This window comes from Homo sapiens, chromosome 9 (assembly GCF_000001405.40).
Source record: "Homo sapiens chromosome 9, GRCh38.p14 Primary Assembly".
Lineage (NCBI taxonomy): Eukaryota > Metazoa > Chordata > Mammalia > Primates > Hominidae > Homo > Homo sapiens.
Window position 1 is genome coordinate 62,447,010 of NC_000009.12, and position 17,029 is coordinate 62,464,038.

Below are 17,029 nucleotides of genomic sequence, written 5' to 3' on the forward strand. Positions count from 1 at the left end.
ATTTCTTTTTTTTGGAGACAGAGTCTCACTTTGCCACCCAGGCTGGAGTGCAGTGGTGTGATCTCAGCTCACTGCAACCTCCGCTTCCTGGGTTCAAGCAATTCTCCTGCCTCAGCCTCCCCAGTAGCTGAGATTACAGATTTCCGCCACCACGCCTGGCAAATTCTAATTTTTAATAGAGATGGAGTTTCTTCATATTGGCCAGGCTGGTCTTGAACTCCTGACCTCAGGTGATCTGCCTGCCTCAGCCTCCCAAAGTGCTAGGGTTACAGGCATGAGCCACTGCACCCAGCCACGCAAGAATTTCATAACCTGCCAGACTGAGCTTCATAAAGAAAGGAAAATAAGGTATTTCCAGACGAGAAAATGTTAAGGGAAGTCATTACCTCCAGACTGACTCTAAAAGAAATGTTTAAAGGAGTTTCACTAGTGAAAATAAAAGAATGATACTTGCTACCATAAAAGCATACATGAATACAAAATGTACGGAACCTATAAAGCAATTAAACAATTGAGACTACAAGGTAACTAGCTAATGCTATAAAAGGAAGAAAACCTAACACATCAATATTAAGCTTGAGTGCAAATGGCTGAAATGCTCCACTTAAAAGACACAGAGTGGCAAACTGAATAAAAAAACAAGACACTTCTGCTGCCTTTGAGAGACCCATCTCATGTGTAATGATACCAACAGGCTCAAAGTAAATGGATGGAAAAAGATTCATCACATAAATGAAAAACAAAAACAGAGAGGTATTGCTATTCTTGTATCAGATAAAACAGACATTAAACTAACAACAGTACAAAAAAAATACAAAGAATGGCATTATATAATGATAAAGTGTTCAATTCAACAAGAAGACTTAACTGTCTCAAATATATATGCAGCCTACATTGAAGCAACCGGATTTTTAGAATAAATATTACTAGACCTAAGAAAAGAGATACACAGCTGTACAATAATCATGGAGGACTTCAACACCCCACCGACAGTAGTAAGCAGATTATTAGTTAGGCAGATTATTAGGCAGAAAACTAACAATGAAACTGTGGACTCAAATTGGGCTCTTGACCAAACAGACCTAATAGATATCTACAGAATACTCTACCCAGAAACCACAGAATGTACATTTTTCTCATTTGCACATGGAACATTCCCTAAAATTGACCACATGCTCAGTCATAAAATAAGCCTCAATAAATTTTTAAAAGTCATAACTATATTAAGTATCTTCTCAGACCACTGTGGAATAAAATTAGAAGTCAATATCAAGAACTCTCAGAACCACAGAGGTACATGGAAACTAAACAATCTGCTCCTTAATGACTTTTGTGTAAATAACAGAATTAAGGCAGAAATTTAAAGAAATTCCTGAAACAAATGAAAATAGAAACGTAACATACCAAAACGTCTGGGATACAGAAAAAACAATGTTAAGAGGAGAGTTTATAACACTAAATGCCTACATAAAAAGAGAGAAAGATCTCAAATTAACAAGCTAAAATAGCCAAACACACTAAAAAAGAACAAACCAAACCCAAAGCTAGTAGAAGGAAATAACAAAAGTTAGAGAATAAGTTAATGAAATCGGGACCAAAAAAACCATACAAGGAATCAGCAAAATTAAAAAGTTGGTTCTTTGCAAGTACACATAAAAATGATAGATTGCTAGTTAGATTATGCAAGAAAAAAAGAAGATTCAAATAAGCACAGTCAAAAATGACAAATGAGACATTGCAAAGGATACCACCGACATAAAAAAAGATCCTCAGAATATCTTTGTGAGCATAAACTAGAAAACCTAGAGAAAACGGATAAATTCCTGCAAACACACCACCTTCCAAGACTGAATCAGAAAGAAACCAAAAGTCCACTAGGGCAGTGCCAATAGGAAATGTGGGATTGAAGCCTCCACACAGAGTCCCCACTGGGGCACTACCTACTGGAGCTGTGGGAATGGGGCCGCCACCTCGAGATCCCTGAATGGTAGAGCCACGGGAAGCTTTCATCCTGAGCCTAGAAATACCACAGGCACTCAACTCTGATCCAAGACAGCAGCCATGGTGACTGTGCACTGCAAAGCCACAGAGGCAGAGCTGCATAAGGTCTTGGGAATCCACCCCTTGCACAAGTGTGCCCTGGATGCAGGACATGAAATCAAGAATTATTTTGGAGCTTGAAAGTTTAATGTCTGCCCTACTGGGTTTCAGATTTGCCTGAGGCCTGTTGCCCCTTTCTTTTGCCCAACTTCTCCATTTAGGAATGGGAATATTTACCCAACACCTGTACTGCATTGAATATTGGAAGCAAATAACTTGGTTTTGATCTTATAGGCTCATAGATGGAGGAACATACCTTGAAGCTCAGATGAGACTTCGGACTTTTGAGTTGATGCTGAAACAGCTTGAGATTTTTAGGGACTACTGGGAGAGGATAATTGTGCAATATGAGAAGGACATGAGATTTGGGGGCCATAGGGGTGAAATGACATTGTTTGGATGTGTTTACCCTCCAAATTTCTTGTTGACTGTGATCTTAAATGTTGGTGGTGGGCCTAGTTGAAGGTGTTGAATCATGGGGGTGGACCCTTCATAAATTGCTTAGCTCCATCCCCTTGGCGATAAGCGAGTCCTTGCTCTGTTGTGTCACACGAGAGCTGGTTGTTTAAAACAGCCTGCCATGTTCCCCTTCTTGCTCTTGATTTCTCTCTTGACACGTGATACACTGGCCCTCCCTTTGCCTTCCTCTGTGATTGGATGCTTTCTGAGGTCTCATCCAAACCTGAGCAGGTGCTGGTCCCATGCTTCTACTGCCTGCACAACTATAAACCAAATAAATATTTTTTCTCTATAAATTTAAAAAAATCTGAACAGACCAGTAGTTAATTATGAAATTGAATTTGTAATAAAAATATTTATCAAGCAGGAGAAGCCCAGAACTAGATGAATTCACAGCTGAATTTTACCATACAAAAAAACAGATGGTATCAATCTTACTGCAACCATTCTAAAACATTGAGGAGAAGGAATTCCTCTCTAACTCATTCTACAAAACCAATATCATCCTGACACTAAAATCTAGCAAGGAAACAACAACAACAAACTACAGGCCAATAGCTGATGAACATAGATGCAAATATCCTCAACAAAATGCTAGCAAACCAAATCCATCAGCATATCAAAAATGTAACTCATCGTGATTACATAGGTTTTATTCCTGGGATGCAAGGACTATTTAACATATGCAAATCAATAAATGTGATTTACCACATAAACGGAATTTAAAACAAAAATCATATGATTATCTCAATAGATGCAGAAAAAAAATTCAACAAAATTCAACATCCTTGCCAGATGTGGTGGCTCACACCTGTAATCCCAGCACTTTGGAAGGCAGAGGTGGGCCAATCAACAGAGGTTGGGACCAGCCTGACCAACATGGAGAAACCCCATTTAGAACTAAAAATGCAAAATTAGCTGGGCGTTGTGGCGCATGCCTGTAATCCCAGCTACTCAGGAGGCTGAGGCAAAAGAATGGCTTGAACCCGGGAGGTGGAGGTGGCAGTGAGCCAAGATCACACCACTGCACTCCAGCCTGGGCAACAGAGCGAGACTCCATCTCAAAAAACCAAACCAAACCAAACCAAAGCAAAACAAAACAAAACAAAAAAACCCTGAAATCATATCAATTATTTTTTCTGACCGGAGTGGAAAAGTATTAAAAAATCAGTAACAGGAGGAATTTTTTTGCCGACCGTCTTTGGCTCCCTCTCTTGCCACCCTTTTTCTTCCTCCATCTACCCCAAAACTTTTTCCCCACCATTTTTTCCCCACTGTCTTTTTGCAAAGCCTTCTATACTTTACCACTCACTTCCGTTTTCCCCACCCATCTACTCCAAAACTTTTCCCCACCGTCTTTTCTCCCTCTCCCTGGCCACCCTTTTTTCCGCCTCCCGTTCTCATCATCCTCTTTTGCTCCTTCATCTCCCCAAAAACATTTCCCTCATCTTCTCCCAAAGCCTTCTCCCCACTCCTGCTGCTCGCCACCCTCTTTCCCCTTCCATCTACCCAAAAACTGTTTCCCTATTGTCTTTTTCTCCCTTCCTCCTTGCCACCCTTTCCCTTCTCCATCTACCCAAAAACATTTTCCCGCCGTCTTTTTGCAAAGCCTCTTCTCTACTCCTGCTCACCACGCTCTTTTAACCCATCTACCTCCCCAATTTTTCCCTGCCATCTTTTCACAAAGCCTTCCCTGCTTCCCGCTCGCCCTCTTCTTTCCTCTATCCTGCTTGCCACCCTCTTTTTGCCCTCCATCTACCCCAAACTATTTTCCCCATCGCCTTTTTCCCAGTCCTCTTTCCCCACTCCCTTTGGCCACACTTTCTATTCTCCTCCCACTTGCTACCCTCTTTTCCCCCTCCATCTACCCAAACACTTTTTACCCACTGTCTTTTCTTTCTACACTTTCTTTTCTGCCTATCGTCTTTTCGCAAAACCTTTTCTCTTTCCCACTCGCCACCCTCTTTATCTTTCTCCCAATGGCCACCCTCTTCCCCCCTCCATCTACCTAAAAGCTTCTCTCCTCACTGTCTTTTCGCAAAACCTTCTCTCCCTCCTGCTCGCCACTCTCTCTTCCCCCTCCCTCTCTGCACCCTCTTTTCTCCTCCCACTTGTCACCCTTTTCCCCCCTCCATCCACTCAAAATCTTTTTACCCACAGTCTTCTTTCCCTTTCTTTTCTCCCCACCGTATTTTTGCAAACCTTCTCTCCTTCCTGCTCATCCCTGTTCCCCCCTCACGACCCTCTCTTACCCCCTTCCATCTACCCAAAAACTTTTTCCCCACTGCCTTTCTGTGAAACCTTCTCTCCCTCCTGTTCACCACCCTGTTTTTCCCCCTCCATCTACCCCCCATTTTTTCCCCCCAACATCTTTTCCTTACTGTCTTTATGCAATGCCTTCTCCGGCTCACCATCCTTTTTTCCTTTTGGCACTAACCACCCTCTTTACCCTTCCATCTATCCCAAAAGTATTTTCCCCTTCTTACCGCTCCAGCCACACTACAGTCTCTGTCGCCACCAACTGCAGGGAGGCCAAGCCACAGTGCTGCAGGCTACAGCCTCCAGTCTGTCCTGGTCCTCTAAGCCGGGCTTGGAGCAGCTCAGTGAGCAGACACAGAAGAACCTGGAGTGGCCTGACTCTTCTTCAGCACCACTTATGTACTGAAGTTATGCATATGCCGTTCCTGGACTACACGTTCCAGGACTGGATAAGAGAAAGCCTGGAGGCCTACTCTGATTGGACTTTGTTATGTTCTGATTGGATGAAAGAAAGTCTTAGGACAACCAATCAGAGTATGAAAATAAAGTCCAATCAGAGAAGGCCTAGAGGTTTTCTCTCACCCAATCAGAACATGTAGTCCAGAAACCACCCACGTAACCCCATGTGCATGTTGAGGAGGCCTCACGCCAGTTTAGGCTCTCCAGTATCTCCTGCCGAGCTGCTCTGTTCCCGGCTTAGAGGACCAGGAGAAGGGGGAGCTGGAGGCTGGAGCCTGTAACACCATGGCTCGTCTCGCTCTGGATGGTGGTGGCAACAGAGATGGCAGCGCGGCTGAAGTCTTAGGAGGGCGGCCTGAGCGGTAGGAGGGTAGTCTGAGCAGTAGGAGGGGGGCTGGAGCAGTAAGATGGCGGCCGGAGCGCTAGGCGGGAGGCTGGAGCAGTAAGATGGCAGCCGGAGCGGTAGGGGGGTGGCTGGCAGCCGGAGCGGTAGGGGGGTGGCTGGCAGCTGGAGCTGCTCTTGACCAGCTAGAGGTCTAGGAGAAGGTGGGGACCATGCCCAATGCTGGCGGCTGGAGCCTTGGCCCTGGCGGCTCGCCTGGCTGCGGTTGGTGGTGGCGACGGAGACTGCATCTCTGTCAAGTAGTAGAAAGGTGGCAGGGTAGGTGCGCTCTCTGCGGCTGCACTGCCCGCTTGTGGGGTGGTGGGGGAGTGGGTTTGGTGTGCTTTTGGGGCTGCACTGCCTGCCGTGGGTGGCTGGTGGGTGGCGCTATCGGGTGTTGAATTGCTGGCAGTGGGGCAGGTTTGCTGCGCTATCAGGGTCTACACTGCCTAAGGTGGCGGGGGGTTGGAGGCAGGTTGTGTGTGCTGTCGTGCACTACCAGCGGCAAGTGGCGGGGGGTTAGGGGCATTATTAGCTGCTGCACTGGCCGATCCAGGGGGCGGGTTGGGTGAGCTATCGTGAGCTACAATGTCAGCAGCAATGCCAACTGGCAGGCAGTCGGGGGTGCTTTAGGGGAGCTGTCAAATGTTGCATTGTCCGTGGGGGAAAGGGGAAGGTGGGGTCGGGGGGTTGGTTGGGTGCACTACCCCTGGCGTTCACTGCCCGCGACAGGAGCAGATTGGGGGTGCTATCTGGGGCTGTGCTGCTTGTGGTCCGGGTGGGGGGCAGGTTTGATGGGGCACTATTTGGTGCTGCAACACCCGTGGTGGGGATGGGTTGTGGACACTATCGAGTGTTACACTGCCAGGAGCAGAGGGGTGGTTTGGGGGCGCTATCAGGGTTACACTGCCTGCAGCAGTCTCTGGGTGTGTTGTGTGCACAATCCAGGGGCTAAGTTTGTGGTGGGGGGGGGCAGGTTAGGGGCGCTATGGGGGGAGGTTGCACTTCTGCTGCCAGCAGCAGGTTGTGGAGGTGGCCACGACAGTGGTGGCCTCTGAGGAAGGGGCCCTTCTCCTCTTCCCGGACTCAAGGCTCTAGAGGGTGAACAATTTCTGCTCGTGTTGGAGCACGGAGGGTGCACAGAGTTTTCGCAGCAATCCTCTGACCACCGCAGGGCCCTCACACCCACCATGGTTACCCAGCCCTTGCCCTCTTGCTCTGTGTTGTGGAGACTATCTGGGAGCCCCAGGCATGGAGTAGTGGGCACCACGGAGGCTCAGGGTCCTGTGGGTGGAGGATTCAGGAATGGGAACTGGTACTTGGGTGGGGAAGACTGGCTGGGTCTGAGTTTCTGCTATTCTTGCTCCCCAAGGAGCCCCGGGCACTGTGGTGTCTCCAGTCCCCACCCCAGGTCAGGAGGCCAGCTTGGTCTAGGAGGAGAGGCTGGACTTTGGAGGGTGGGTGTGAGTGCCTTTGCTGAAACTGGCCCCAGCCACCCAGTGGCCAGCATGACAAGGTGAGGCTCTAACACTGCCACTTTCTGCATCCTGTTGTAGGTTTTTCTGGCATTGTCTGCCCAGCTACTCCAAGCCAGGCTGATGAAGGAGGAGTCCCCTGTGGTGACTGGAGGTTGGAGCCTGAAGATGGCACAGCTCTGTGATTCATCTCCTGCTGTTGTGGCGGCCACGGTGATGGAGACGGCAGCTCAACAGGAGCGGTAGGAGGGTACCCGTGGAGGCCAAGTGGTAGGAGCCTTGGAGGGTGGGCAGGTGCATGGAGGGTGACAGCAGCGCTGGTTCCTTTGGCATCGGCGCTAATGGTGGCAGCAGCAGCAAGTCTAGGGGCCAGGAAGGGGGAGTAGGAGAGCTTTGGGGCCCGGTCCGGCCTGGGGTGGGTAAGAAGCTGCTGGTTCTGTACCACAGGCCTCAGTGACAGTGGTGGAGGTGCAGCCAGAGCAAGGAGTCCGCCCCCTTCTCCTGCGGTCTCTGGTGGGTGCCCTCCTGCTGGCATCTGAGCCAGGTGTGAGTGGCAGCACTGTTTCATTCTTAACAGAATTTAGGGGCTTACTATTGTGTATCTTTTTGTTTTTGGTTGTGATAACCCTTAAAGGACAAAAGGCTTCTTTGGCTGGGTTTTGGTGTGGTGGGATCCCCCCATGTAAGACAAAGGGTGCTTTGCTGGCAAGCTGTGTGTTGGAGGGAGTTCACCAAGGGGAAGAAAGGGAACCTCTCAGGAGGATGGCTGCTGTGGCAGGTCCCCTGCCTCTGGGCACCCTTTGGGCCACCTAGTTTCCCTGCGGAAGAGGGGAGGCTTAGACCGGTATCACTTGTATCATCAAAGAGGCATCCTGGCTGGGCCAGTTGATTTGACCTTCCCACTTCTTCAGCCCACCTGCCCATGGTGTCACCTGGGGAAAGTGGAACCTCAGGCCACAGGGGCAGAGGCTTCTCTGGCAGGCTGATTGCTGTAGTGGATTCTGTTCTGCCTGCTGCTCAGGAGGGCTTCTATGGCCAGGAAGTGATGCTGGGACTCTCCTGTTGGTGTTCTGCTGCCTCCGTGTTGTCTCCGGCTTCTCAGGGACTCTCAGATGTGTGAAGGCAAAAAGGTTTCCTGGCTAGTTTGCGTGGTGTGGTTGGGATCACTTTTGCTACATGCCCCTCAGGCACCCTAGTGGGGGAAAAGGGAATTTTAGATTTAATGGAGAATGTGTCTATGTTGGCTGCTTATTGTTAGCAAACTTCTGAACAATTCTATTCTAAATGGTCACCTCTTGTTGAGTAGACTCCAGCTCCATTGGAGAAGAGATGAACTTACCTGGGCTGTGTTTTCTTGCTAGCTTGAGGGTTGAAAACACTAGGTTTTTTTCTCCTTTTCCAGTTGAGTTAGGGAAGTGACATGCATTGCCACAAAACCATTCTTTCAGTTCTGGAGTCCTTAGACAGTCATCTTACTAGCACCTTCCAGCATTCTCCTTTCAGTGAGCTAATAAGGGAGGGTTCCTAATCTAAAAGGAAACATGGATGGTGTTCTTATGTTGTATGACAAGAAATACGAAATAATTCTGAAAAATTTAGTCATTTTTCTTTTAAATTTAGAAACCTGTTTTTTATATTTATAATATTTAAAGCCATTAAAAATTAAGATGTCATAATTAAAATAATCTTTTAACATTTTACATTAATTAGCATTTAGCAGATGACCATAACAAATTATTTTTAATTATGTTACATTAATTGCCAATACAAATTTCTTTCTGGTTTTTACAAATCTGTTTGCAAAATTTTATTTTGTCGTTTATTAAATTTTTGTATAATTAGCTGCTACATTGCAGGTATAGGAACTTCCAATATTAAGCATGATTACAAATACTTCAGTTTTCATGTCTTACTTTTTATTAATAGTCTAAAAGTTATAAAATGCTTTGTGCGTTAGTCTTGGTAACATTCTTTAGTATGAATTATCATTTGAAAAATGTTAGGAACGTAGCTTTCCCATCTTATTTATTATCTTGAGGTGGAGTCTCACTCTGTCGCCCAGGCTGGAGTGCAGTAGCGTGACCTTGGCTCACCGCAACCTCTGCCTCCTGGGTTCAAGCGATTTCTCCTGCCTCAGCCTCCTGAGTAGCTGGGATTACAGGCACGGGCCACCACGACCGGCTAATTTTTGTGTTTTTAGTAGAGATGAGGTTTCACCATATTGATCATGCCGGTCTCGAACTCCTCACCTCAGGTGATCCACCTGCCTCGGCCTCCCAAAGTGCTGGGATTACAGGTGTGAGCCACCATGCCAAGCCTATTTATTTTAGATACAGTGTCTTCCTCTGTTGACCAGGTTGAAGTGCAGGGGTGTAGTCATAGCTCACTGCAGGCTCAGACAGTCCTTCTGCCATGGCCTCCCAAAGTGCTGGGATTACAGGCATGGGCCACTGCGCCTGGCCTAAATTGTAATAATTTTACAGTTTGCCTCAAATGAGGGCTGGCATCTGGGCAAGGTCTGCTGGGGGCCTCCCACATACAGGCAGTCTCTCTGCTGTGCCCTCCACCAGCACTGAGGGTCACCTGCCCACAGGCACCCCTCTCCTTTCCCCTCTGGGGAAGGCCAGAAGTGACTTTTGAGGTTACCCGAGGGACTTTTTCTGGAAAAGGGTGTGAAGCTGAAGCTGATGGCCTCAGTGTCCAAAGGGGAACACTTCCCACAGGCGTTTGGAAGCCACAGACCTGACAGCGGGGTCCTGGTCTTGGGGGTCTCAGTCACCTGGCCACCCATTCCTTCCTCACTTAGGCATCCACCTAGCGGGCTGCCCACACCCTCTTCTATCTGTCTGTGCTCAGCCAATCAGGCAAGCCAGGGTTACACCCTCCCTGTCCTGGGCCATGGCTCCATGAAGCACCATGTGCCTCGGAAGACCTCCCCGATTGATCCCGTCTCCCCAGTATCTTCTGCTAAGGCAGAGGTTTCCCTGGGCCCCTGCTCTGGTCCACTTCCTTGGCACAGTTTGTAGCTGTGCCTGACACAGCCCACCCGCCTGGCTTCTGTCCCAAACCTGCAGCCAGGCCATGTGACAGCCGCTGCCTGTGCCCAAACATTCATCCAGCCCCACCCAGGAGAGCCAGACAGGCACTCACACCCTAACCCACACACCCTCACCCCCACACCCTCACCCGCCCACCCCCACCCACACACCCTCACCCACACCCACACACCCCCACCCACACCCACACACCCTCACCCACACACCCCCACCCACACCTGCACACCCTCACCTGCACACCCCCACACCCTTACCCGCACACCCTCACCCACCTGGCCCTTCTGCACCCCCTCCCCACCCTCCCTCTAAACCTACTGGGGGAGCAGCTTCCCCTACATTCGCTTGCTCCACCTCCTCCTAGAGCTGGGTCACATACCAATTCCCACGCTCTTGGCAGGTTGGTCATGGCCCTGGCAGATCTGAGGACAGGATGGGCACAGGACTGTGTGCAGCATAGAAAGGTCAAGGAGTGCAGCCTCGTACTCTGTGCCAGCTGCCAGCCCCCGGAGCTTACTAGGCTGATGGGGACAAATAATGCACCAGAGGGGACAGTGACCATTGTCCCTGGGTTAGTCCACCACAGGACTGTTGGGAAGTTCACAGATGTACTGATTGCCCTGTTGCATTGGTCCTCGGGGGCAGATGCTGAGATGGGGTTAGGAGAACAAAGGGGAGGAAGGGAGCTGGGCATGGTGGCTATGCCTGTAAATCCTAGCAGTTGGGGAGGTCCAGGTGGGAGGATTTCTTGAGGCCAGGAGTTTGAGACCAGCCTGGGCAACATAGCAAGACCCTGTCTCTACAAAAAAAAAAAATTAAAAATTAGCCATCCATGGTGGCTGTATTCCCAGCTACTCGGGAGGCTGAGGTGGGAGGAACAGTTGAGCCTAGGAGTTGTCAATAGAAATCAAGTGTTGGGATATTGAGAATAGCATTATAATGAGGGTCCAGAGTATGTTATTAATACTAATGGTAGAATTTTGAGCTTCTGATATATACACAAACATGTATAGCTACACCAGGGATTGTGCTCAAGATTTGACTTACATTAGCTTGTTTAAGCCTCTTCCACACACTATTTGAGGCAGGTACTGTTGTTATCATTTTATGGATGACAAAACTGAGAAGCAGAAAATGTAGGAAACTTGCCCAAGATCACACAGCCATGAAGCAGACACCAGAAGCAGAGCCCTAGGCTCACAAACTTGACTGCCTTCACTCTAGGCTCTATGTTATTCTGACCATCTCTCAGCCAGGAAGTCACTCCCTTATGCAAATGACATTGTTGGTGCTGATGGTTAAATATTTCTTTTCTCACAACATGTGAAAGAGAGAGCCTGATTTGCTACCTAAGCCCCAAGGGTTTCTCCTACCATTTCAGAGAGGTAGAAACTTTTCTTTGCCCCTAAACTGTGGCAAAGAAAACAGAGAGGAGGAAACAGCCATCAGAAGACTAAAAATCTCTCATCTTTGCAAATAAGAATTCACTCTGAGCTTTTTTGCATGCAGCAGTGGGAAGAGACCTTGTTTTTTATTCTATCAACTTATCCATTTAACAATTTATTGAGAACCTGTTGTGTACCCGATGCACTGCTGGCATTGGTTATGTAAAAATCAATGCAGCATGGTCCTTTCCCCAAGCAACTCAGTCTCCTGCTTGGTTCTCTTTTCTGGATCATTTTAATTATGGTTCTCCTTTTAAGTAAAGGACAAACAGAGAAGTAGCACCGAGTCAGATTTTTGCCACTAGTCTTATACAGGTGGCCTATTTTTCTTAATGCTCCCCACACATGGGATCTGAGCCAGCTGAGCCCTGAAACCTTCCAGGTTGAGAACGTAGTGTGGCACTTCACATGAGACTGTGCGGGAGTTGATACAACTGGCATGTTAGCCACAGAAACCCTGCCAAGCGTTCTGGAATAGAGGGGGTGGACAGGACCCCACCTGCTTTCCCTAATCTCATGGATATCAGGCACCAGGCAGCCTTCCCCCGGAATGGAGACATCTCAGGTAGGGGTTGTCACTGTTCCAAGCTTCCTTTGATGCCGTTTTGATCCTGGATGTAGAGTTGCCGCATGGAGAGTGAAACCACGAGAATATATAATTGAGAAAAGAATGGAAAGATGGACAGATACCTAAACAGATACATAAATACTTTGCAGAAGTCTGGGACAGTGGAACGTAGGAAGAGAGCCTCAGATAGAGAGAGAACAGTAGGCTGATTGTGGTAAAGGGAAGGCTTCACTTTGTTATTCAGTATACATATTTATTGAATTGTTTAAACAATATGTATATCTTTATAATTAAAAGATAATTTGGGGCCGGGCATGGTGGCTCACACCTGTAATCCCAGCACTTGGGGAGGCCGAGGTGGGCGGATCACGAGGTCAGAATTTTGAGACCAGCCTGGCCAACATGGTGAAACCCCATCTCTACTAAAAATACAAAAAATTAGCTGGGCCTGGTGGCAGGTGCCTGTAATCCCAGCTACTCAGGAGGCTGAGGCAGGAGAATCACTTGAACCTGGGAGGCAGAGGTTGCAGTGAGCCGAGATGGCGCCATTGCACTCCAGCCTGGGAGACAGAGCAAGACTCCGTCTCAAAAAAAAAAAAGAGAGAATTTGGGCTTTAGAATAAGATTGGAGTGTGAATCCTGGCTTCTACTATTTCTGAGAGCTATGTGACTGTGGACAAATTGTTTCAGTTCTCTAAACCCCCAATTCCCTTGTTTATGAAATGGAGGTCATGGGGATTGAATGAGATTAAGTCCTATATAAAATGCTGATAGAGCTCTCAATAACATCACCTCTTTATTATTAATAGCATTAGGCAAGGCTGAGAGTCAGCTACAGAGGAGACCTCTGTGGGCAGAAGAGAACCACGGAGGAGTTAGCAAGTAGCAGTAGAGCCGAGAGAGGAATGGGTTCCATTTAACGCAGTGTCAAGTGCACTCCTCATTAGGGAGATGCACCTCCCTCCCTTCTCAACCTGCCAGCACTTGTTTTCTCCTGGGGAAACACCCGGCATGGCAAGCTTTGTATGTGGTAAGGTGGCTGAGAACATGAGCCCTGGCACCATTGATTTCCATTCTAGCTGTGCCACTTACTTGCTTAGCCAGTTTCCTCACCTGTAGAATGGGAATGGTAATTGTGTCTACCTCAAGAACTGTCTCACCAATTAAGTGAGTTAATGCATGGGAAGGGCTTCAGAAGAGCCTGGCACAGAGTAAGTGATTTATAAATATGAGTGCATGTTCTATACTCTGGTTCTAGAGTAATCCTAAGACTTTTGAAGACCCTGAACGCTCTTCCTTTTGGAGATTTCACCCCACATTTTATCAAACATACTGAAAGTCACCCACATTTCACGTTAATTATTATTATTATTTGCTGTAGTATGTTTAAAAGAGGTTTTAATGATTTTGCTTGTGGTTGGCTGTGACTAACTCATGGCTATGAGGCCTTAGCAATCGCTGGACGTATTTGGAAACCCTTTCAAGGTGAGTAATTCTAAGGAACGAATTGTTTTTAAGTGTAATACAATTTGTATGAACATCAACCTTAACAATGATGTTTACATAACATTCCATTATGTAGACATTTAATTAAACTTTTATCTATTTCAATTTTTCAGTTTTCTCTTTTTGTATTTTGAAGCCAAAAAAAAAAAATGTGTTTTCAGACCTCAGGTTAAGGGAATAGATGAAAGCGGTCAGCCAGGGACCAGAAAGACCTCTTGGCCACCCTCCCGAAGTTGTGGTTCAGCAGAATCAGGCAGAGCCTGGGTGCAGAAGGGACCTATAAGCTTATCTATCCCTGTTCTTCCCTTTTATGAATGGAATAACTCATGTCCAAGGAGGGGAGTGACTTGCCCAGAAGATAGTATAGTTTGATTCTTCAAATGCAGAGTCCTGAGCCCTTTCAAACTTCTTGTTGTTTGTTTTACACGTTCCAAGATGATATTCAAGGAGTGGTTCTCAAAGCCTAGGGGAGTGACCTCATGAGAGGTCAAGGCTGCTGATGCTGGGAAGACTCATACAGGTCCACCCAGGCTGCACGTGTGTGTAACCCAATGACCAAATCAACAGTGACTTGAACCCGCAGCCAGGGGAGTGTGAGTGAAATATAAGCAGACGTTTTCACCAGTTGTTAAAACCTAGCAGGGGCATGAGGAATCAATCACAGACTGTGCCTCAGCAAACCTCCATGAGGAAGGCTCAAGGGAGCGGAAGAGCAATCACAGGTCTCCACCATCCAAGAGCAAATCCAAGCAGAGCTAAGCACTTTTGTGTCCTCTGGAGCAAGGCAACCCCATAACCTTGCAGAGATTCAGGAATGATGGAAGCTGAGGAGCTACATGGCCATGTCAGGAGGATGATGAGATCACCAGGCAGCTGCCATCAAGTTAGGGTTCAGAGTGGTCCTGGAAGAGAAGGAGATGCCCCTGCCTGGGACCACACAGGACAGAAGGGCATCTGGACAGTACCAGGCCATGTTCAGAAAGTGAAGGGGCTTTCCCATAGGAAGGTTATGGGCCCAAACACTTATTGAGCGCTTACTGTGTGGCTGGCGTAGTCAATAAGTGTTAAAGGAAGGGAGAGAGAAACTGCGAGGGAAGAGAGGAGGAGGAGACCCTGGACAGCAGGTGCTGTCGCTCTGAGGCTCCTCCATGTCCACAGTTGGTGGCTTCTACCTTACATCTTTATACCTTTGAATTGGATGAAATGTATTTTCTCTTGGTCGTTAGGGCACTGGTGCACAATTTCAGTATGACCTTGTTGGTTCGTTCCACCTGGTCGTTAAGGTTCTGGGGACTGTGTATGAAGCAGTATCATACAGGAGAAGGAGGCAGGCAAACCTGGTTTTGAATTCCAGCCTAGCCACTATATAGCTGTGGTACCACAGAGACATTCTTTACCCTCTCTGAAAGTGAGTTTCTTCATCTGGGCAATGGGTGCTAAGAATTCTTGCTTCCCAGGGCTATAGCAATGTGCTAACACAGTCCCTGCTACATCATAGTAGAGGCCCCATAGAGTGCCTTTTCATGTCCCATGGTCAAGGTGGTCTTGCCTGAAACTAAGACATAGCTCATTGTACTGCTCAAGTCAGAGCAAGCCAAGTGTGCTTTGGACAACTAATGTGCCTAAACCTGGGTCGTGAGAATCCTAAAAAGGAACAGGGCATGGCTCTGGACCTCAGGGAAACAGAGTCAGATGTGGGGGAGACATAGATCTGGAAAAAAAAAAAAGCACCGGGCTTGGGGTCTGGAGTTTGGGTCACCTTCCCAGGTTTGCCACAGATTTGCTATGGGTCCTTGATTAAGTCACAGTTCTCTGAATCTCAGTTTCCTCTTCTCTCCTGCTTGGGCAAAACTTGATGGTCTCTAAGATTCATCCTTGTTGAGTAAGTGCTAAGCTACATGGCACAAATTTCAGATGCTTCTTTAAGTGTGTCCAAGAAGAAAATTCTCAGAGACAGTTGGAGTGCCTGGGAGTGGCTAGAAAAAATTAGGGAAATGATTCAACATTTAGCCACAAGTGATACAACTAACTTAGGAGTCTGCTCCTCATCTCATGGGGGTCTTAAATTCTTCCCTCCAGTCCTTCTCTCTTGGGTTGTATTAGAAAGATTACTGAGGTAACCTTAAGCACAGCAGGTTGGATTCAGGTTAGATTTAAGGAAGGACTTCCAAACAAATGATTTTAAAGGCGTGAGCTTGTAAGTGAACAGAGAAAAAGGCATCATCTACTTTTTAAAAGCCTTAAGATGCTGGGCACAGGTATATTTTGCATTCCTGAAAACTGTGCTAAGAGAATACACTGAATCAGTCCTGCTTAAAATGCACCAGAGTGTTCACTATTTAAAGGCATGGGGATGCCCTTAAGTTCACTGTTTATGAATACGAGCTTTGTTTAGCCAGGTTTTTAAGGTGAAGATTCCCTAGCTGGATCTCTGTCACGCAGAGTTCAAATGTAATCTTCCTCAGAGGCAGAGAAATAAATTCAGTTCATTCTCAAGGTTGCTTTCAGATCTATGGGTCCAGGAATGCATGAAATACAAGGAAAATGTTTATGATGTTTCTGTATTGGCCAGCATTCCTGGTTTCTGTCCCTGGAGGACCTGCAGAGCCAGCAGTCTCTTCTTTGAGTATGTCTCAATCGTGAGCACCAGGCAAAACCACAGGAGCAGTACCATTGTTCTGGAGAGTTTAGTCTGGGGCCTACTGGGAGTTGAGTAGAAGTTGGAATCTGATTTGACTTCCATTTACTCTGCACCTTGTACTTTGCAGTAACAAGAGTGTCAGTGCCATGAGGGCAGGGACTATTTGTGATTTGCTTCTCATTGCCTGGCATGGAACGGGTACTCAATCAATGATGAATGAATGAAAATGGACACATCAATTCTAGTTGACTTTCTGGCCTTTGGCCAGGTACTTAACTGCTCTGAGCCCCAGCTTCTACATCCATAGCATGGGGGATAGTAAGAGTTCCTACTTCACAGGGTTGTCATCAGGATTCAATGAGACAAAATATGCAAAGTACTTAGCGCGTTGTGTAGAATGTAATAGGCACTCAACCAATGTTAGCTTAGTACTACTTTTTCTGTGTAAGATTATGTTGTCCTTTCCACAGCCCTGTAAGGAGAATATACCATCCCCACTGAACAGATGAGAAAACTGAGGCTCAGGGGTGTCAGGTGACTGCCTGAGGTCACAGGTGGGACTGGGGCTCCTTGGTCTGTCCTCTTTCTACTGCGAAACAGTCTGGTGAAACTACAGAAGGACCCATTCCTGCTAATGAGGCACTAAAGGTAATGCACGAGGAACTCTCAGGAATATGTGGAA

At 47.2% G+C, this 17,029-nt stretch overlaps 2 long non-coding RNA genes across 2 annotated transcripts in view; both read left to right on the forward strand.

Annotated features, from left to right (window-relative positions):
• The window catches only part of LOC128966771 (uncharacterized protein FLJ76381), a 98,522-nt gene that overhangs the window by 70,678 nt on the left and 10,815 nt on the right, over positions 1-17,029 (forward strand).
• Positions 5,481-17,029, forward strand: part of LINC01189 (long intergenic non-protein coding RNA 1189) — a 69,529-nt gene continuing 57,980 nt past the window's right edge. The window contains exons 1-2 of the long non-coding RNA NR_046203.2: positions 5,481-5,938; positions 7,216-7,404. This is a non-coding gene — a long non-coding RNA (long intergenic non-protein coding RNA 1189). The remainder of the gene's footprint in view (positions 5,939-7,215; positions 7,405-17,029) is intronic.